Source organism: Homo sapiens, chromosome 3, assembly GCF_000001405.40.
Source record: "Homo sapiens chromosome 3, GRCh38.p14 Primary Assembly".
In the NCBI taxonomy this organism is placed as follows: domain Eukaryota; kingdom Metazoa; phylum Chordata; class Mammalia; order Primates; family Hominidae; genus Homo; species Homo sapiens.
The window spans coordinates 103,090,618-103,112,845 of NC_000003.12; the positions used below are offsets into that span (position 1 = coordinate 103,090,618).

General features: G+C 35.9%; 1 annotated feature.

Moving 5' to 3' along the window:
- Nucleotides 21,668-21,962: a silencer, noted in NCBI's record as "tiled region #9057; K562 Repressive non-DNase unmatched - State 24:Quies". NCBI's record gives its function as "represses a minimal TATA promoter and a strong SV40 promoter by Sharpr-MPRA in K562 cells {active_cell/tissue: K562}" and the evidence as "EXISTENCE:reporter gene assay evidence [ECO:0000049][PMID:27701403]".

Sequence of the window (22,228 nt, forward strand, 5' to 3'; positions counted from 1 at the left end):
CACTTAAGCATTTATCCTTTGTGTTACAAAAAATCAAATTGTAATATTTAGTTTTTTCAAATGTACATTTAAATTATTGTTAACTATAGTCACCCTGTTGTGCTATCAGATACTAGCTCTTATTCATTCTATGATTTTTTTTTGTCCAAATTAACCATACCCACTTCTCCATACTCCTCACTTTCCTTCCCCGCCTCTGGTAACCATCCTTCTACTCTCTGTCTCCATCAGTTAAATTGTTCTAATTTTCAGCTCTCACAAATTAGTAAGAACATGTGAAATTTGTCTTTCTGTGCCTGAACTATTTGACTAAACATAATGACCTCCAGTTCCATCCATGTTGTCACAAATGACAGCAACTCTTTCTTTCTTAATGGTTAAATAGTACTCCGTTGTGTATAAGTACCACATTTTCTCTATCTGTTCATCTGTTGATGGACAATTAGGTTGATTCTAAGTCTTGTTTATTTTAAACAGTGCTCCAATAAACATGGGAGTGCAGATATTTTTTCAATATACTGATTTCCTTTATTTTGAGTATATTACCTAATAGTGTGATTAGTGTGATGTGTGATCATATGGTAGCTCTACTTTTAATTTTTTGAGGAACCTCCAAACTGTTTTCCATAGTGGCCATTCAAATTTACATTGAACCAACTGTGTATGAGGGTTCCCTTTTCTCCACATCTACTCCAGAATTTGTTATTGCCTGTCTTTTGGATAAAAGTCATTTCAACTGAGGTGAGATTTCTAATTGCAGTTTGGATTTGCATTCTCTGATGATCAATGATGTTGAGTACATTTGCTTACTCCTATTTGCCATGTGTATGTCTTCTTTTAAGAAATGGCTACTCATAACTTTTACTCATTTTTTTTGGATCAGATTATTAGTTTTATTTTTCTTTTTTTTTTTTTTTTTTGAGACGGAGTCTCGCTCTGTCGCCCAGGCTGGAGTGCAGTGGCGGGATCTCGGCTCACTGCAAGCTCCGCCTCCCGGGTTCACGCCATTCTCCTGCCTCAGCCTCCCAAGTAGCTGGGACTACAGGCGCCCGCCACTACGCCCAGCTAATTTTTTTGTATTTTTAGTAGAGACGGGGTTTCACCGTTTTAGCCGGGATGGTCTCGATCTCCTGACCTCGTGATCCGCCCGCCTCGGCCTCCCAAAGTGCTGGGATTACAGGCGTGAGCCACCGCGCCCGGCCTAGTTTTATTTTTCTATAGAGCTGTTTGAGCTTCCAGATACTCTGGTTATTAATCCCTCTTTAAATGGGTAGTTTTCAAATATTTTCTCCATTCTGTGGGTTATCACTTCATGTTGTTGACTGTTTCTTCTTAGATGTACAGAAGCTTTTTAATACAATGTGATCACATTTGTCCATTTTTACTTTGCCTGTGAAATTTTTGCCTAGACCAATGTCCTTGATAGTTTCCTGAATGTTTTCTTTTAGCAGTTTCCTGGTTTCAGGTATTAGATATAAGTATTTAATTCATTTTTTTAATTTTGTGTAATTTACTCACTTAAAATGTTTCATACATATTAATATATTCATTCAGTTGTTCAATCATCACCAAAGTTTAATTTTGTAACATTTTTGGTATCCTCAAAGAGTCCCAGTACCCATTAGCAGTCACTTCCCATTTCTCCTCCACCTTACATCGTTAGGCAACCACTGTCTAAACTTGCCTGTTTGGGAGATTTTATATAAATGGAATAATAAAAATGTACTCTTGGTTCTGGTTTCTTTTACGCAGCATGATATTTACAAGAATATACTTTCACCCAGGTTGCAGCATGTGTCAGTACTTCATTCCTTTTGTTGGTCAATAACATGATATCATATATATGATATATGATATACCATATTGTATTTATCCACTCATCAGTTAATTAACATTGGGGTTGTTGATTTGATTTTTATATATAGTGAGAGATAGAGGTCTAGTTTCATTCTTCTACATATGGATATTGAGTTTTCTCAGCACCATTTATTGAAGAGACTGTCTTTTCCCCAATGTATGCTATTGGCACCTTTGTCAAAAATTGATTTATTGTACATGTATGAATGGGTTTCTGGGTTCAATATTCTGTTCCATTGGATTTTGCGCCTGTTTTTATGACAGTACCATGCTGTTTTGATTCCTATAGCTTTGTAGTATAATTTGATGTCAGGTAATGTCATTCATCCAGTTTTGTTCTTTTTCCTTTGGATAGCTTTGGCTACTCTGGGTCTTTTGTGATTTCATATAAATTTTAGGATTTATTTTTCTATTTCTGTGGACAATGTCATTGGTATTTTGATAGAGATCACATTAAATCTGTAGATTGTTTTGGGGGTATGGACCTTTTAACAATATTGATTCTTCTAATCTATGAACATCGAATACCTTCTTGTGTTTTTGTGTTCTCATCAATATCTTTCATCAGTGTTTTATAGATTTCATTGTATTAGATGTTTCATTTCTTTGCTTAATTCCTAGGCATTTAGTTTTATTTGTGATTATTGCAAATGTGATTACTTTTAGATTTCTTTTTCAGATTGTTCATTGTTGGCATACAGAAATGGTACTGATTTTTTAGTTTAGTTTTGTATCCTGCATCTTTACTTATTTTTTTATCAGTTGTAATAATTTTCTAGTGGAATCTTTAGGTTTTTTTCAAATATAACATCATGTCTTCTGCAAACAAGGATAATTTGCCTTCTTGGTTTCCAATTTGGGTGTCCTTTATTTTCCTTCCTTTGTTCTAATTGCTCTAGCAATTAATTGCTCTAGAAACTCTAGAGTTTCTTGTACTATGTTGAACAATAGTGGTGAAGTTGGTATCATTGTCATATTCCAGGTCTAAAAGAAAAAGATTTAACTTATGATACTAGCTATGGGTCTGTTATACATGGCTTTTATCATGTAAATGTATGTACCTTCTATATCTTCTGAGCTATTCTATAGCTTGTATAGATTTTTTTAGAGTTTTTAACATGAAGGGATGTTGAACTTTATCAAATGCTTTTTAAGCATCAATTGCAATGATCGTGTTTTTTGTGCTTCATTTTGTTGATATAATGTATTACATTGTTTGATTTTCACATGTTGAACCATTCTTGCATACCTGGGATGAATCTTACTTGGTCATAATGAATAATCTTTTTAATATATTGTTAAATTTTGTTTGCTAGGATTTTGTTGATAATTTTGCTTCAACATTTATCAGCAATATTGTTCTGTATCTTTGTTTTTTGGGTGTGTCTTTGTTTTGTTTTGCTCTCGGAGAAATACTGGTTTCATAAAATGATTTTGGAAGAATTACTTCCATGTATTCCAAATTATTTTTTGGAATAGTTTTAGTAGTATTGGTATTAGTTCTTCCTTTAATGGGTAGAATTCAACTGTGAAGCCATCAAGTCCAAGGATTTTATTTACTGGGAGACTTTTAGTATAACTTCAATTTTGTTACTTGTTATTGCTCTGGTCAGGTTTTGGATTTCTTTTGGATTTCTTGTCAGGTTTTATATATATATATATATATATATATATATATATATATATATATATATATATATATATATAATTATATATATAGAGATAATTCTATATATATATAGAATTCTATATATAGATATGAATTTATCAATTTCTTCTAGATTTCCCAATTTATTCACATATATTTGCTTAAATTCTTACATATATATAAGAATTTATCAATTTCTTCTAGATTTCCCGATTTATTCACATATAGTTGCTTAAAGTAGCCACTAATAATCCCGTGAATATCAGCAGTATCAGCTCTAATGTATACTTTTTCATCTCTGATTTTATTTATTTGGATCTTTTGTCTGTTTTTCTTAGTCTAGCTACAGGTTTGCCAATTTTGTTTATCTTTTAAATATATTTAATAATCCCTTTTTTCATTTAAATTTCGTTTATTTTTGCTTGGTTCTTTATTATTCATTTTCTTTAATATTGGTTTGGTTTGCTATTGTTTTTCTAGTTCTTTAAGGTGCATCATTAGGTTATTTGAAGTTTTTCTTTTTTTGGATATGGGCACTGATAGCTATGAATTGCACTCTTAGTACCAATTTTGCCGTATCCCAGGTTTCGGTATGATGTGTTTTCATTACTATTAGTTTCATAAAATTTCTCAATTTTCTTCTTTATTTCTTAATTGACCTACAGGACATTCAGGAGCATATTGTTTAATTTCCATATGTTTTTATAGTTTTCAGAATTCCTCTTGTTATTGTTTTCTAGTTTTATTTCATTGTGGTCAGAGAAGATGCTTGATGTAGTATCAATTTTTTGGAATGTTTTAACTTATTTTATTACCTAATAATATGGTATATCTTGAAGAATGATCCATGTGCTGAGGAAAGGAATGTATATTCTGCAGCCAGGATGAAATGTTCTGTTAATATTTATTAGGTCCATTTGTTCTATCGTGTAGATGAAGTTTGGTGTTTCTTTGTTGAATTTTTCTCTAGAAGATCTGTCGAATGCTGAAAGTGGGCTGTTGAAGTCCCCAACTATTATTGTGTATTGGTCTGTCTTTATATTTAGCTGTAATAATATTTATTTCATAAATCTGGGTGCTCCAGTGTTGGGTACGTATATATTTACAATCATTATATTGTCTTGCTGAATTGACACTTTTATCATTCTGTAATGACTTTCTTTGTCTCTTCTTACAGTTCTTCTCTTGAAATCTACTTTGTCTAATTATAGCTACTCCTTCTCTTTTTTGTGTCTTATTGGAATGAAATATCTTTTTCTAACCCTCATTTACAGTCTGTGGATGTGTTTATAGATGAAGTGTGTGTCTTGTATTCAATAGATTATTGGGTTTTGTTTTTATATCCATTATACCACTCTATGTCTTTTGATCAGAAAGTTTAGTTTACTTACATATTTAAATTCAATGTTATTATTAAGTAAGGACTTATTTCTGCCATTTGTTATTTTTTTCTAATTGGCTTGTAGTCCTTTCTTCCTTCTTTCCTTTTTTCCTTTCTTCCTTTATTGAGGGTGATTTTCTCTGCTGCCAAAATTTAATTCATTGCTTTTTATTTTTGGTCTATCCCTTGTACTTTTGTTTAACCATGACACTTGCAAATGGTGTCTTGTAACCCATTATTTTAACGTGATGACACCTTAACACGGATTGCATAAAAAACCAAAAATGCAAAAGGAAAACTAAGAAAAACTCTACACTTTAACTTTTTGTTTCTGCTTTTTAACTTTTTGTTCTTTCTCTTCATGTCTTATTGTATATTTATGTCTTAAAAAGTTGTTGTAGTTATTTTTTTAGCTTGGCTCATTATTTAATGGTCTTGTTGCTTAAGAGTAGTTTACACTGCAGTGTTATAATATTCTGTTTTTCTGTGTGTTTACTATTACCAGTGAGTTTTGTTTTTTCAGGTAATTTCTTCTTGCTTATTACCATCCTTTCTTTCAGACTAAGGAACTCGTTTTTCATTTCTTGTGGGACAGGTTGGTGTTGATGAAATTTCTTAGCTTTCATTTTTCTGTAAGATCTTTATTTCTCCATTCTTGAAGGACATTTTTGCTAAACATACTATTCTAGGGTAAAAGTTGTTATCTTTCAGCAATTTAAATATGTCATGCCACTCTCTCCTGTACTGTAGGGTTTCCACTGTCTTCTGTCAGACATATTAGAGCTTCCTTGTATGTTATTTGTTTATAATCACTTGTTGCTTTTTGGATTCCTTTTTAATGCTTGACCTTTGGGAGTTTCATTATTAAATTCCTTGAGGTAGTATTATTTGGGTTAAATGTGCTTGGTGTTCTATAACTTTTTTCTACTTAGATATTGATATATTTCTCTAGGTGTGGGAAGTTCCAGGATTGTTCCCCGATGCCTTATTTAGTACACTTGATGAGGTCATGGTTTCCTTGCTGGACTTGATGCTTATAGATTGTTGGTGTCTGGGCATTGATTAGTTAGGTATTTATTGTGGTCTTCATAATCTGGGCTTGTTTGTGCCCATTCTATTTGGGAAGGCTTCTGTAGTATTCAAAGGGACTTGGGCTCCAAACCTAGTAATGCTGTGATTGTTGGTGGTCATGCATAAGATCTGAAAGAATTCTCTGGATTACAAGGCAAAGACCCTTGTTTTTTTCCCTTACTTTCTCCCAAAGAAATGGAGTTAGTCTCTCTCTCTCTCTCTCTCTCTCTCTCTCTCTCTCTCTCTCTCTCTCTCTCCTACAGTGCCTGGTACTCTGGGTGGGGTGATGCAAGATGCAAGTACCCCTGTGGCTACCTCCTCTGGCACTGCCCTGGGTGAGACCTAAAGCCAGCATAGCCCTGAGTCTTGCCCAAGGCTCACTATAACCACTACCTGGCTGCTGCCTATGTTCACTCAAGGCTGTAAGGCTCTACAATCAGCAGATGGTGAAGTCAGCCATGTCTGTGAACTTCTCTTCAGGGCGGTGAGTTCCTCCAGGCCCCAGGCAGGTCCAGAGATGCTATCTGGGAGCCAGGGATTGGAGTCAATAACCTTAGAAATCTACCTAGTATTCTATTCTACTGTGGCTAAGCTGGCTCTCAAACCACAAGACAATGTTTTTACTGCTATCCCTCCCCTTTCCACAGGCAATGGAGCCTCACTCCATGGCCACCACCACCACCACCAGCTCATAGGCTGTTCTGCTGAGCCACTCCTAATATTTGCTTAAGGCCCAAAGCTCTTCAGTCAGGTTATGGTGCATTCTTCCAGGCCTGGGACTCACCCTTCAGGGCAGTGGGTTCCCCTCTGTCTCAGGGAAGGTCCAGAAATGCTGTCCAAGAAATGAATCTTGGACTTAGGGACCCCAAGAGCCTGCCTGGTGCTCTGTCCCATTGTGGCTGAGCTGGTACTGGAAGCCAGCATGTCTCAGTATGTCAACCAAAGCCCATAGTGTAGTACCTGGGTATCGCTATCAGTTATTCGGGGCACAAGGTCTCTTCAGTCAGTAGGTGAAGAATTCTGCTAGGAATTGGTCCTTCCCTTCCTGGCAGTGGGTTTCCTTGTGGCCAAAGATATGTCTAGAAATGTCATCTGAGAGCTAGAGCCTGAGATGGTGGCCTCATGACTCTCCCCATGGTCCTATCCTATTCTACTGTGGCTGAGCTGGCATCCAAGATGCTAGACATAGTCCTTTTTACTCTTTCCTCTTCTAAAGCAGAGGGAAGGAATCACTTTAATTGCTGTGAGCTGCACTGCCTGGGGTTGGGTAAGGGTGGCACAGCTACTCCACCAACTGGTCTTTCTGACGTCCCACTAGGTCACACACTCCCCCAATCCACTTACTCTTCAGACCAAAACAGCATCAGGACTTGCCTAGAAATTTTAGTCTTTGTGTCTTAGACTGCATTTCAAGTTTATTTTCAACTTCAGAGCACTTTAGATTGAAATGATGAGGCTTGCCAAGAAACTCAAGTTCTGACTGCTGGGATGGGTGTTTCTCCTCTGGCTGGGTCTGGTCCAAATGTTCCCTCCATGGGTGGGCATTGACTAAATTCAGTATGGTTTGGATGTCTGCTGTGACAGGTCCGTGCTGAGTTCAATGTAAAGTCACCCATTCACTGTGTTCTCCCTCTCCCAAATGCACAGATTCTCTCTCCACACCATGAAGCTGCTGCTGAAGGAGGGAAGAGGGCTAGTGTTGGCAATCCAAGACAGTCTTTTCTACACTCTTCAGTGTCTCGTTAAACTACATGAAGCTAAAACCAGGTACTTTGATTGTTTATCTGATTTTTAGTTGTTATGAAGGTGCTTTTTTTCTATGCAGATAGTTAAAATTTGGTGTTCTGGTGTTGGAGATGATCAGTGGAGCCTTGTATTACACCACGTTACCACACCCTCTGAATTCTCTATTCTGTTTTATTGGTCTTTGTTTTTATAGCAATGCCATGCTGTTTTGATTGTTATAACCTTATAAAATATCTTCATGTCAGATAGTGTGATGCCTCCTTCTTTGTTATTTTTGCTTGAGATTGCTTCAGTAATTTTGGCTCTTTTTTGATTCTATATCAATTTTAGGTTTGCTTTTTCTACTTCCAAGAAAAGTTACACTGATATTTTGATAGCGATTGCATTGAATCTGTAGATTGCTTTGGACAGTATGGTCATTTTAATTCTTTAAATCCATGATCATGCAATTGCTTTTCATTTGTTTATGCCTTCAGCTTATTTCTTCAATGTTTTATAGTTTTATTTGTAAAGGTCTTTCACCTCCTTGTTTAAATTTATTCCTAGATATTTTGTGGAGCTATTACAAGTGGGATTGCCTTCTTGATTACTCTCTAAGCTACTTAATTATTATCGTACAGAAACACTACTGATTGGTGTATGTTGACTTTTTATCCTACAACTTTACCAAACTTATTAGATCCAAGAGTTTTTTGATGAAGGCAAGGTTTTTCTAGGTACAAAATTATGTTATCTTAAATGAGAAACAATTTAACTTCCTTTTCAGTTTGAATGCCTTTTATTTTGTTCTTACTTCATTGCTTTGGTTGAGGCTTCCAGTAATGGGTGGAATAGAAGTGGTGAATGTGGACATCCTTCTCTTGTTCCAGGACTTAGAGGAAAGGCTTTCAGCTTTTCCTCATTCAGTATGATGTTAGCTGTGGGTGTGATATATGACCTTCATTACGTTATGTTTCTTCAGTGCCTAGTTTGTTAAGAGTTTTTATTATAAAGCGACGCAGGATCTTATCAAGTGCTTTTTCTGCATCTATTGAGATAATCATATGGTTTTTGACCTTCATTCTGCTGATTGATGTGTCATGTTTATTGATTTACATATGTTAAACTATTATTGAATCCCCAGGATAAAACCTACTTGACCATGGTGTTATATTTTTACACATGTGATACTGGAATTGGTTGGCTAATAATTTTTTGAGGATTTTTGCATCTATGTTTATCAGGGATATTGACTTGTAGCTTGTTTGCTTGTTTCCTTCCTTACTTCCTTTTCCCCTTCCTTCTTTCCTTCCTTTCCTTTCTTTCCTTTCCCTCTCTCCCTCCCTCCCTCCTTTCTTTCTTTTCTTTTTTCTTTTCTTTTTTCTTTTCTTTTCTTTTCTTTCTTTCTTTCTTTCTTTCTTTCTTCTTTCTTTTCTTCTTTCTTTCTTCAGTTTCCTTTTTTTGCTTTCTATCTTACTTTTTTATCTGGTGTTGGTATCAGGGCAATGTTGGCCTCAGAGACTGAGTTTGGGAAAATTTTCTTCTCTTCAATTTTTTGCAATTGCTGGAGAACTGGTGCTAGTTCTTTTTTGTACATTTTGTGGAATTTGGCAATAAATCCACACAGTTTTGGACTTTTCTCTGTTGGGAGACTTTTTATTATTGATTCAATCTCATTTTTTCTATTGGTCTGTTCAGGTTTACTATTGTTTTTAATGATTCAATTATGGTAGGTTTTATGTGTCCATAAATATATCCATTTTCTCTGGATTTTTTAGTTTGTTAGTGAATAATTGTTCATAATAATTTCTGATCCTCCTTTGTATTTGTGTGGTATCAGTTGTCATGTCTCCTTTTTTGTTTCTGGTTTTATTTTGGGGGGTATTCTCTCTTTTAGTCTTGATAACTGATATAGTTTGGATATTTGTCCTCACTCAAATCTTATGTTCAATTGCAATTCCCAGTGCTGCAAGTGGGGCCATTGGAAGTATTTGCATCATGGGGGTGGATTTCCGATGTCATGGTTCTATTTTCAAGATAGTGAATCTCGTGAGATCTGCTCATTTAAAAGTGTGTGGCACCCCCTTGAACACACACTCTTGTTTGCTCCTGCTTTTTCCATGTGACGTGCATGCTCCCCCTTCACCTCTACCATGATTCTAAGCTTCTTGACGCCTCCCTAGAGGCCAAGCAAATGCCAGCATCATGTTTTTGTAAAAAACCTGCAGAACCGTGAGCCTTATTCCTTTATAAATTAAACTTCTTTTCTTCATAAATTACCCAGTTTCCATTGTTTCTTTATAGCAATGCAAGAATAGCCTATTGTAGTTACTCTAGCTAGTGTTTCATTGATTTTATCTTTTAAAAAATCAACTTTTCATTTAATTAATCCTTTGCATTTTTTTTAGTCCGTTTCATTTAGTTCTGCTCCTTTTCATTGGTTCTTTCCTTCTATAATTTTGGATTTCGTTTGTTGTTGCTTTTCAAGTTCCTTGTGGTGCATAATTGGATTACTTATTTGAAAATTTTCTACTTTTTTGGTGTAGGCATTTATTGAAATAAAATTCCCTCTTAGAACTGCTTTTACGTTATCGTATATGTTTTGATATGCTATGCTTTGTTTTTTATTTGTGTCAATAAATTTTTTTATTTTCTGCTTAATTTTTTGACTCTTTGGTCATTCAGGAACATGTTTAATTTTCATATATTTTCATATATTTGTATAATTTTCCTATTTCATAATTTCATATATTGAAAAATATTTCATAATTTTCATATATTTGTACAGTTTACAAAATTCCTGGGTACATACATGTTTGGAATGTTTATATCCTCTTGCTGAATTGATTCCTTTATCTTTATATAATTACTTTTTTCTCTCTTTTTATAGTTTTTGACTTAAAGTCTGTTTTATTATACAAATATAGCTATTGCGTGAGCTTTTGGTTTCTGATTGCATGAAGTATCTTTCTCCATCACTTTACTTTCAGTCTGTATATGTCTTTCCTTGTAGGTAGCATATAGTTCGGTCTTTAAAAAAAAATCCATTCAGCCAGTATGGCTGTCATTTTATTAATTGATTTCTGGTTATTTTGTATATCGTTTATTTTTCTCTTATTACTTATCTTATGATTTGGGTTCCTGTAGTGGTAACATTTGCATTCTTTCTCTTCCTTATTGTCTGTTTGCTCTAAAAGTGAGTTTCACACTTTCATGTGTTTTCCTGATGGAATATATTTCACTTCTAGGATTAATACTCCCTTGAATATTTCTTACAGAACCAGCTAGTGCTAATGTATTTACTTAATTTTTTGTTTGTCTGAGAAAGACATTATTTCTCCTTTATTTATAAAGAATAACTTTGCTGGACATGCTTGAATTGCAGGTTTATGTTGTTTTTGTTTATTTTTTTCAGCATTTTGAATATACCATCCCATTCTCCCCGGTTGGTAAGGTTTCTGCTGAGAAATCGACTGTTAATCTGATGAGGGCTTTCTTAAGTGACTTAATTCTTTTCTCTTGCTCTTTTTAGAATTCTTTTTGTCTTTGACTTTTAATACATATACTTTAATATGCCATAAAAAACCTTTTTAATTGTATCTATTTTGGGATTTCTAAGCTGCCTGTATCTGTTAACTAAATCTCTTTCTAGACTTGGGAAGTTTTCATCCAGTATTTGTTAAATAGGTTTTCTAATATTTTTATTCTACCTTAGCCTTGAGGAGTACCAATAATTTGAGTTTTCCACTATGTTGCCCCAAGTGTCACAAAAGCTTTGCTCATTCTTTTTCATTCTTTTTTATTTCTTTATGAGTGGATTATTTCAAAAGACCTGTCTTCAAATTTCTAAGATTCTTTCTTCTGGTTGATCTAGTCTATTCCTGAAGTATTCAAATGTATTCTTACTACATTCAAAGAAATTTTCAGTTCCAGAATTTTTGTTTGGTTCTTTTTTATATTAATATAAATACAAATAATTTTAGTACAAAACAAATACCTAATATAAATATTAAAAAAGCAATTACTTTTCCCCCAACACAATATAAATATGAATAATTTTGGTACATTTCTAATTCATATCTTGAATTATTTCTCCGATTTCTTTGTATTTATTTGTGTTCTCCATGATCTCACAGAACTCCCTTAATATCACTATTTTGAATTCTTTTTCCAGGATCTCATCTGTTACTTTTTCATTGGAATCTCTTGCTGTAGCATTATTGTGTTTCTTTGGTGGTGTCATTTTTTTAAATGTTTCTTGTGTTTTTACATTTATATCTGCATGACTAGTGTGACAGTTGATGTTTCTAATTTTTAACATTTGCTTTCATAGAGTATACCTTTTTTCCTGAAGACCTATCTATGGTGTTGGTTGGGCACGGCACTTTGGCTTTGACTAGGTGGGTGCATTAATGGATTCTTCATCTTATTTCTTTGGCTGTAACAGTGTCAGTGATGTCTGTAATTTCCTCAGAGTTTTAGGGCAAGGTTTTCAGTGAAGGCTGTGGTGAAGTTATACTGTGGACAGCAATGCCAGGTGGACCAATCCTTAGACCCCAGTGGTGGCAGCGGCAGACTGAGTATGCAATCCCCTGGGCTCCAGGGTATTATACACCTACACTAGTGTTAGCAGGTCCAGACTTGATTTATTCTTGGGCCTCCAGGCAAATTTCTTGAGTGCTGGTAATAGCAACAATGGGCCATGTGGGTGGATAGGTCATTTGGCTAGCAGGTGTTTGGGGTGATGGCAGTAGCAGTGGTATGACAACCTTCTGGCTTCCAGTCAATGCAGGTGTGAATATTAGATATGATAGGGTGAGTGGGCTAGTTCCAGGCCTGCAAGTGTCACAATTGAATGTGTACGAACTGTGCTGGTAGTGGCAGGTTGAATGGGCCTGAACTCAGGCCCCTAGGAGAAGTGTTCACATGCCAGTGATGGTGGATGTGGCTGGGTGAACTTTAGACTTCTGGACAACATACTCAGGCATTGGGGAGGAGGGTGGAGCTGGGTCAGGTGGACCTATCCTGAGGGCTTCCAGTGGTAAATGCAGGATCTGGTTGTGGTAGTGACCCCAGGCTCCCAGTGGAATGGTTGGGTTTGAGTAGCACTGGCTATGCTTCTGCCCTGCTATTATGTCAGGTTTGCTTTTAACAGCAGCAGCTGTAGGCAGGTGACTGGGTAACTAGCACTTCAGCCTCAGATGGTAGCTTTAGACTAACAACCTATCTTCAGGGTGCTTGTAAATGTGTGGCCACTGTGCTGTTGGGGGCAGTGGTGTTGCTCCTAGTGGCTTTTGCTTTAGCCCTGGATGTAGCATTCAGCGGTGGCAGCTGTGGGTAGGAGAATGTCCTCAGGAAACATGAACATCCACAGCAGCTCCATTACTGGGGACAGCAGGGTCACTGCATATGGGTTGCACTTTGGCTCTGGTGACAGTGGACAGCTGTGGTAAAAGCCACCGATGGGGATGTCAATAGGGCTTAAGGGATATGGGGATGATGGGGCTGTTGGGTCGCAAGCCAGGGTGCAATCTGGTAGGCCTGGACTCTCAAAATGGTACATTTCTGTAGCTGCTTAGGACCTGGAGGATGTGTGGGATCCAGCATGAGCTCCTTCTCTGGAGCAATGACATTGTGCAGATTCCAGGGAACTCCTTGTGTTTGTCTCAGGACCCATGTGGGTTGATGAGCTCTCCCATGGCTAAAGTTGCAGAAGTCCATGGTGGGAATGTAAAATTCCAGGGATCTCTCACTTACCCATTTCCCACACTGGAAACTTCTCCAGGTTCTTAGCCAATCCCAGTTGATCAAGCTTCCTTGCTTCCCTCTCTTTCCTTGCTTTAGGTATTCCTTGTCAATTTTTGTTGAATTTCAGTGTATTCTCTAAGATGATATATTCTAAGGGTGATTATCTACTTGCCATTTTTTTTTTCTTCTTTGTGGAAGAAGTGAGTACCAGATGACTCTAATCAGCCATTTTGAAGCCCCAGTGATTTGAGTCTTTTGATGCCAGAGAGTATCAAAACCTTGGTAGGCAGAATGACAGCCTCCACATATGTCAGCATCCTAACTCCCAGAAACTTTGGATATGTTATATAAACTGGCATGTGGGGATTAAGTTTGCAGATGGAACTGGGATTGTTAATAAGCTTACACTGAGGTGAAAAGATTATTCTGGATTATTTTTGTGGGGCCAGTGTATTAGTGAATGTCCTTAGATGTGAAAAAAGGTGGCAAGAGAGTTAGAGTGATACAATGCAAGAAAGACCCTACCATCTGTTGCTGGGTTTAAAGATGGAAGGAGGCCATGAGTCGAGAAATGTGGGCAGTCTCTAGGAGCTTGGAACAGCGAGGGAATGGATTCTTCTAAAGCCTTCAAAAGGAATACTCATCTGCCAACACCTTGATTTTAGTCAAGTGAGACCCATTTTGGACTTCCAAACTCTGGAACTGTAGCATAATACATTTACGCTGTTTAAAGCCCATAGGTTTGTAGTAATTTGTTATAGCAACAACAAAAATTGACTACATCTCATTTGGGAAATGGTCAAAATTTTTGTTTTTGTTTTTGTTTTTGAACTTATTTTCACCCCAGGCTCTCTGCTGTCCCACTCTGACTTTAATTTCTTTTTTCTCATGATCACCAGTTACGGTCTATAGGTAAAATTTTGCAAGTCAACATTAATTATATTTGTGTTTTTCAGCTCCCAGGAGTTCTTTTTTTCCTCAACTAACTCGAAGTCGTTATTTAGAAATTTGTTTAAATGTTAGCTGAATTTATCCTTCTTGCTTTTTAGCTTACTGCATCTGCCCCAGGTAAGCAACTGCTTATGTCCTGTCTCTTCTTAGATAACCCTGTATTTCTTTGAATTTTGGTTAGTTTATTTCCCTGTGATCTCAGTTCACTGATAAGTTTAAGAAATTTTTGTTTTGTACATTGTCCAGCTTTTTATGTTACTGTTGTAAGGATGAGAAATAATGCTTTTTGTAGCATTATACATCCTAATTAGAAGCTTGAAATCCCATTCCTCTTGTCTGGAAGGCTCCCAGTTTTGATGTGGAGATATGTTTTATCCTTATATGATGTTGATTATTGTGCAACTAAGCTTAAAGTAAACTGTAGGAGTCATTCTGGACAGACACTGCCTTTAGAGACTGAGTTTAAGGGAAAGAAATATATGCTGGCTATGTCAGAAATCACCCCTAATTCTCTCTGCCTTCAGACTGAGTTGGTAAAAAGAATCTTCTTTCCTCCTTAAGAAAGCCCTTAAGAAAGCCTCCTTAAGAAAACTAGGCCGGGCGCAGTGGCTCACGCCTGTAATCCCAGCACTTTGGGAGGCTGAGACGGGCAGATCACAAGGTCAGGAGATCGAGACCATCCTGGCTAACACGGTGAAAACCCCGTCTCTACTAAAAATACAAAAAATTAGCTGGGCGTGTTGGCAGGTGCCTGCAGTCCCAGCTACTCGGGAGGCTGAGACAGGAGAATGCCCTGAACCTGGGAGGCGGAGCTTGCAGTGAGCCGAGATCGCGCCACTGCACTCCAGCCTGGGTGACAGAGCAGCCTGGGTGACAGAGCGAGACTCCGTCTCAAGAAAAAAAAAAAAGAAAGCCACAAACTAGATAAATTTGATTGCCACTCTACTCACTTTTTGAGAGAAACAGAGAGATCCTTATATGTGGCAAAACATTTTTAAATTATTTGTATAAATTCAGGGGTACAAGTCCAGTTTTGTCACATAGATATATTAAGTAGTGGCAAAGTCTGGGCTTTTATTGCAACCATCACCTGAGTAGTGTTTCAAGAGACAGAAAATTCAGCCTCAAGCGAGAAGGCAAGATCCTTGACCTTGGGGAACTTACAGGCTCAAGGTACACTTTATAGTTTAGTATTTCCAACTAGACAGAATGAGGTAGTATACTTTATAAACCTCTCTTAGCTTTACAAATTCAACAAAAAATACTTGCTTAGAAAACTTGCCTTATATTTTCATCAATATTTTATTATAAAGATATGTTTTACTATAAGCTTTGTAAGTGAAGGAACTATTTTTATTGTATTCTTTTCCAGCTTTTTAGCATAAATATTCCATACACATATAGTATGTTCAATAAATATTCCAGATTCATTAGACCTTGTGTTTAAGTGACATCCCTACACAAACATAAATGTTGTTCATCACATACTGTTATTACTAGTTCATTTGTAAGGTTGATTGCCAAAGTTGAATGTCTATGAAATGATATTAGTTGTGGTAATGTTTTCTTCATTTCATTTTATGTTTTTAAATTGTGGTCATTGAACATTGTACACATATTGAATCTCTAATGGGTAGAAGTTAAATAAATATGCTCAAATCATTTACTTTCCTGGTCAATCCAGAATTGACGTGTAAATTTGCAATTCATCAGCCAGTATTGTTCAAATAAGGATACAAACTCCAAGGTTTGTATCTGAAGTGGTTCATTTTACAGCGTGATGCATGGGTGACTAAGTTATTTTCCTTTTTCCTATACTTAAAAGCTTTTGGTTTTAAAATTTGAAAGGCATATTACAAATGCTTTTAGTTTGTGAAGTTACTTAATATAAGTTATAAAGTTTAATAAACTTTATTAAAGAATATTCCTCTATTTCTACCTGATGGATTTGATAGCAAGTCAAAATTGAACATTTCTAGGATGCCTAGGATTTTACTTTTCTAAGAGGAGAATTTTTAAAATAGTGACCTCTTTATTTTCCTACTAGAAAGAAAAATCAATGAAGACAATTCCATATTATTCATATTTAAAGTGCAAAACAAAGAAAATAATAACAAAATAGTTTACTCAGGAGGGAATCAAAACAGGTTCAGCCTCAATTTGATAAGCTTCTTCAGTTTCCTTCTGTATCGCATTGCTAAACAACAGATAATATCATTCTAAACGAACAAACCTGACTTTTCTTTATGCTCTACGCCTGTTGATTCTTACATACCACAGAAAAGGTATTTTTATTTTATTAATTTGCTGGTGATGGGGGCATTGTTGTTGTTGTTTGTTTGTTTTATTTAATAGTCTCATCTGCTAGTGGTTTATGGCAAATTTCTTGTTCTTATCAATAAAATATTAGTTAACCTGACTAATTTTGAATCTCAACAGAAATTGAAAGTGTGTTATGACAGTGCTGGTAATCTGCAGAAACAAAATTGTAATTAATGAAAATCCAATTAAGATGCCAAAAACTTCTCAGCAGCGTATTGACCAAAATATTCTTCAACTCAGAAAATTAATATACAATCCATAGTGTAAATGACAATGCTTTGCTACCTAGGTATGCCAAAATGATAGAGTATTTTAAATGATAGATTCTGCAGTCACAGTGTCTTGACTAAGGCAGTGTACAAGCCCAGGAATTCTGACTTCACAATCTGTCAATGAAAGCATAAGCTGAGTATTTTCTAACAAATTATTTAATTCAGTATTCTGAAACAGTTTATTAATTGAGTATGCACAGTTTTTAAAATTATCTGTCTGCTGATTGTAAAATAAGGATATTAATTGTACCTCCTTTTAAAGGTTATTATAAAATAAAATAAGAACATATATGTAAATTTATAGCAGTAAGCATACAAACAATATTAGATATTATTGTTATTACAAGTTTCTTTGCATTTGAAATAACGGCGTAGTATATTCAACCTTCTCATACTCCTTGGAATCTGGAGAATTAAAGAAAAGGGAAACCCAGGCTTCAGACTCTTCCTATATAATCCGTTATTAGAATAAAAGTTTGCTGCTATAGTTTTTCTTGTGGCTTTGGCATTTTTAATACAATGTATAGGTTTCTAGCTATCAGGCATGTGAATAGGTATTTTTTTTTTTTTTTTTTTTTTGAGATGGAGTCTCGCTCTGTCGCCCAGGCTGGAGTCCAGTGGCGCTATCTCTGCTCACTGCAAGCTCCGCCTCCAGGGTTCACGCCATTCTCCTGCCTCAGCCTCCTGAGTAGCTGGGACTACAGGCGCCCGCCACTACGCCTGGCTAATTTTTTTTTTTTTGTATTTTTAGTAGAGACGGGGTTTCACCGTGTTAGCCAGGATGGTCTCGGTCTCCTGACCTCTTGATCCGCCCGTCTCGGCCTCCCAAAGTACTGGGATTACAGGCGTGAGCCACCGCGCCCGGCAGTGAATAGGCATCTTTTAGCTTTGCTGGCTAGGGTGGATATGTAAGATCCATCATACTATTTAATAAATTTCTGATATTAATTTAGTAGAAAGGTGGTTAAATAAATAAGGGCAGATGGGTCAAGATAATTCTCCAGTTAAACTTCTCTCACTATTGTGGCTGGGAGAGCCAGATAATATCAGAGAACTTCCCAAACTTAGAGAAAGATATCAATATTCAAGTACAAGAAGGTTGTAGAACACCAAGCAGATTTAACCCAAAATAAGGCGAGCATCAGAAAGAATTTCTCCTCACATGCATCATTTTGTACCAATAATTGCCATTTTATGCAACTCTTCATGTATCTGTTGAAGAATAAGAGGGAAGAGTTTGAGCAGTCAAATGAATGCAGTTACTATAACTAAGAAATATTCATAGGTTATTTTCAGTTTGTTACTGCAATCCTAGATTTCCAAAAAATAATATGAAAATATGCCTTGGTCTACCGATGTAATAGATACCTCAAAGTTTAAAAACTAAGGGGTAGACTCACAAGAATATTTGTTTCCTTTGATGATAATTACGAATTTACTTATTTCCTTTCTTGACGGCTCTCCTCCCGGTTTACTTGTGTGTAGAAAGAATTACACTTTGGATAGAGTTGAAATAGAACAGCCTAGCAAATTCAGACTCAGACAAGCACATCTAATTTACCTTTTGATTTGGTTGTTGCTTCTCTTCTTGTACTATGGTGCTCAATTTGGTTTTCACGTAGCACAAAGTGTTTTAACTGTCAGTCATACAAACAAGAGTCAGGAAGGGCCTATTAGGTCATCCAGTCGATTTTTTCAGCAGAGTAGGATAGATTACTGATGTTAAATTGTTTTCCTTCTGTTTTCCCTCCGGCTAGAATTGAACATGATTCTTGCTATATCTTGAGGGCATAGAAGATAAAAATCAATAATAAAAGTATATGTGCGTTTAGGAGAACTTGTATCTTAGATGGGGAGGGGAATTTCACTTAAGCAATGGTTGAGAACTTTTCATTCCACTGGATAACAAATGACTCCTCCTCCCTCTTTCTTTTACTGGTAAAAAACAAACAGACATTTTATCACTAAGCCAAAGTCAGACCTAGAATTCTATCACAGGCATATGTATTTACCCAGAGAAATAAATCTGCCACAGAATTCCCCTTATCTGATGAAAATCCTTATAGATATATTTATTTTTGTTTAATAGGATAAGAATATTGGATTTCCACAATTGTCTATGGAAGTGTGTGTGTGTGCGTGTGTGTTTGTGTGTGTGTGCCTGAAGTAAGCACAGTATCCCATATGTATGTGTGGGATGAAGACACTGATTACTTTATAATAAAACATGATGATGGGTTTTTATTCCCCCAAGAAACATTAGCGCTGTATTAATACTAGGTATAATTTAACCAAACTTTCTTATTTTACAGGGAGCCTAAGTTTTATTTGCTCAAGGTCACTGAGATACACAAAAGATGATTCAGGACTAGGCCGGACTTCCTGATTTCTAGTTAGCTGTTTCTTTCTCTGTGCTACTCTGACTCAAGATTATTTTTTTTATTTTTATCAAGAAGAGTCAAATTTCTGAATTATAAATGGGATAGCCTGAAGCCTAGAACTCAAGGAATAAGACCAGAACAGAGAAAAACTTTGGCATCTTAAGTTCAGATAAGCTTTGCTAAGTTCCGTGTTCTGCAGAGAATATTCTTTCAAGCCAGGCATAGAAGGGGCTGACGTCTGTTATTTAAATATCCTTTTTTGTGATGTTAGACATCAGGCATTTTAGTAAAGATATAGAAACTGTAAGCAAGTGCACAGTTTTAAAGTTATGTGATTTCTTATTTACAATATCCTATCTTTCTGGGATCTCATTGGTTAAAACATTAATAAAACTCAGTTTTGATCCTAGATTGATTGTAATGATAAACGATATACAAATAAAATAATGTATGTATTAATAATATAACAAATTGCTCTAGACTTTGATTCATCTAAACCTATTTATTTAAAGTTCATCAGTAGCCAATACTGCTGAGTCTCTCATCATATTTTGATTTCTGTAATAAATAAATAAGTAAGAGAAGATTTAAATTAAAAAAAATTGTATCTCTAATGGCAGGATGGCCTCAGGATTTATCAGAGTAATGATTCATCCTAGACTTCAACATTATCCTTCCTCATATGTCTTCTGTTACAGCAGTCTTCTTTTAACAAGGCATTTTTATCTGATTGAGACTGGGAATAAAATTTTTGATTATTGAGGATAAATTATGAGCACTTAAAAATACCAAAACTACTGTTTTGCCTAAAAGCACTATAATAACAAAAGCAATAACTGCAACACAAGGACTTTCCACTTATTGAGAATACATATGATTCCTATCTTTGTTTTTCAAATGAAGAAACAAGGCTTAGAGGGGTTATTAACTTACCTGAAGCTGCACACTTAAATTATACAGTTGGCTAAAAACCGATGTAAGTTTGATGTCAGAATCCACAGCATTAAGCCCCACACTCGTGTGTGTGTGTGTGTGTGTGTGTAAGTATATGGGTGTTCATGTGTTTCTGTGTAGAAGAGGGGAGACAATATGAGGGAGAGGACGATGAGATTAGCAAGTGACAGAACAGCATATCTCTGGTCAAAGTTTTCCTTTTTTGATGTTATTGAATAGAAAGCAACAGACTGTGTGTAGTTAGATGACCAAATGGGAAGGTTGATTTATGTTATTAATACTGTATTATACCCTCATTTATAATACTAGCCAATATCCAACTTGCTAAATAACATGATTTTTACTACTTAAACTTTTCCTGTGTTTGGTTGAGTTAAAAAATATATAAAGAAATAGGTCTCCTCTAAAATACTTTAATGTAAAATGTTAAGAACATAACTACCATATGTGAAGTGTTTACTTTTCTCTAATTTTTGGTCTATGGAGACTACATTTTCACCATCTTTGGCAAAGATATTTGACAAAATAAAAAATAAAATACTGAAATAACCTCATCTTGAAAAAATTAAATGGAAATAGAGCAGATGTCATTTTGTAAATGGAGAATAAAAAGGTAAAAAGGTTTTTGTTTGTCAGCATATTAAAAGTTTAAACTAATTTTACTTCATGAAGACAGATTTAAACGATATGAAATTACAGATGGGTGAGAGTAATACAATTAAATTTATTACAGTTCTAGGGTGACATTTATAGATTCAATGGTTCATATATTATTAATTTGCTAAGATAATACATTATGCAATTAAAGCCATATTTATTTTTTAAATTCTGCATTATGCTACATTTTAATAAAAATTCAGACAATTTAGTCTGTGCATCTATTACAATAGAGGATGGCAGGTGTCTGAGGTATAATGTAGGTGCCTTGATATATTTCCAGCTTATTTCTTGATTAAAATATTGAGAATGAATTTTCAATTTATCCTAAAAAGATATTTAAAATAGTATGTATCCAGATAAACTCATTCTCAAAATGTTTCTTCTGCGCCCTCTCCTCCAGATGGTGCATTTTCTGCTACTGACATCAATAAGACTTTAACAAATACTGAAAGAAATATTTGAGATTTTTAATTATTTGACAACATTCAGTTGTCAAAATCTGCTCCCCAAATACATACCAAAATAGTTGACTCTGAAGAAGGAAGAAGGTGGCAGAATAGAGGCCTACACCATTCATCCTGCTATGCCTCCCTGCTTTGACACCAAATTTTAACAACCATCCCCACACAGAAAAACACAGTCACAAGACCAAAAATAAGGTGAGCAATCGCAGTACCTGGATTTCACTTCATATAATGGAAACCAGCATTGAGGAGGACAGGAGACAGAGGCTTGAATTGCCAGTGCCACCCCTTTTCTGTCTCCTGGCAGTGGCCATGTGGTGCAGAGAGAAAATCTGTGCACTTTAAGGAGGGAGACTGCAGTGACTGGGGGACTTTACATTGAACTCAGTGCTGCCCTGCAGAGAATAAAACCATGCTGGGTTCAGCCCATGCTGAGTTCAGCTAGCACTTTCACACAAGAGAAGCATTTGCATTAGCCCTAGCTGGAGTGTAATTGCCCATCCCAGCAGTCAGAACTTGAGTTTCTTAGCAAGCCTCACTACCACAAGCTGAAGTGGTCTTGAAAGGCAGTAAACTTGAAATGCAGTTTAGGACACAAGGGCTGTAATTCCTAGGCAACTCCTAGTGCTAAACTGGGCTTAGAGCTAATGACCTAGGGTGGCACATGAACTAGGGAAGACACCAGCTGGCACAGTTAAGGGCATGCTTGCACTATCCCTCTCCCAACCCCAAGCAGTGTGTCTTGCAGAAATTAAAGTACTCCTTCTTTCTGCTTGAGCAGAGGAGAGTAAAGA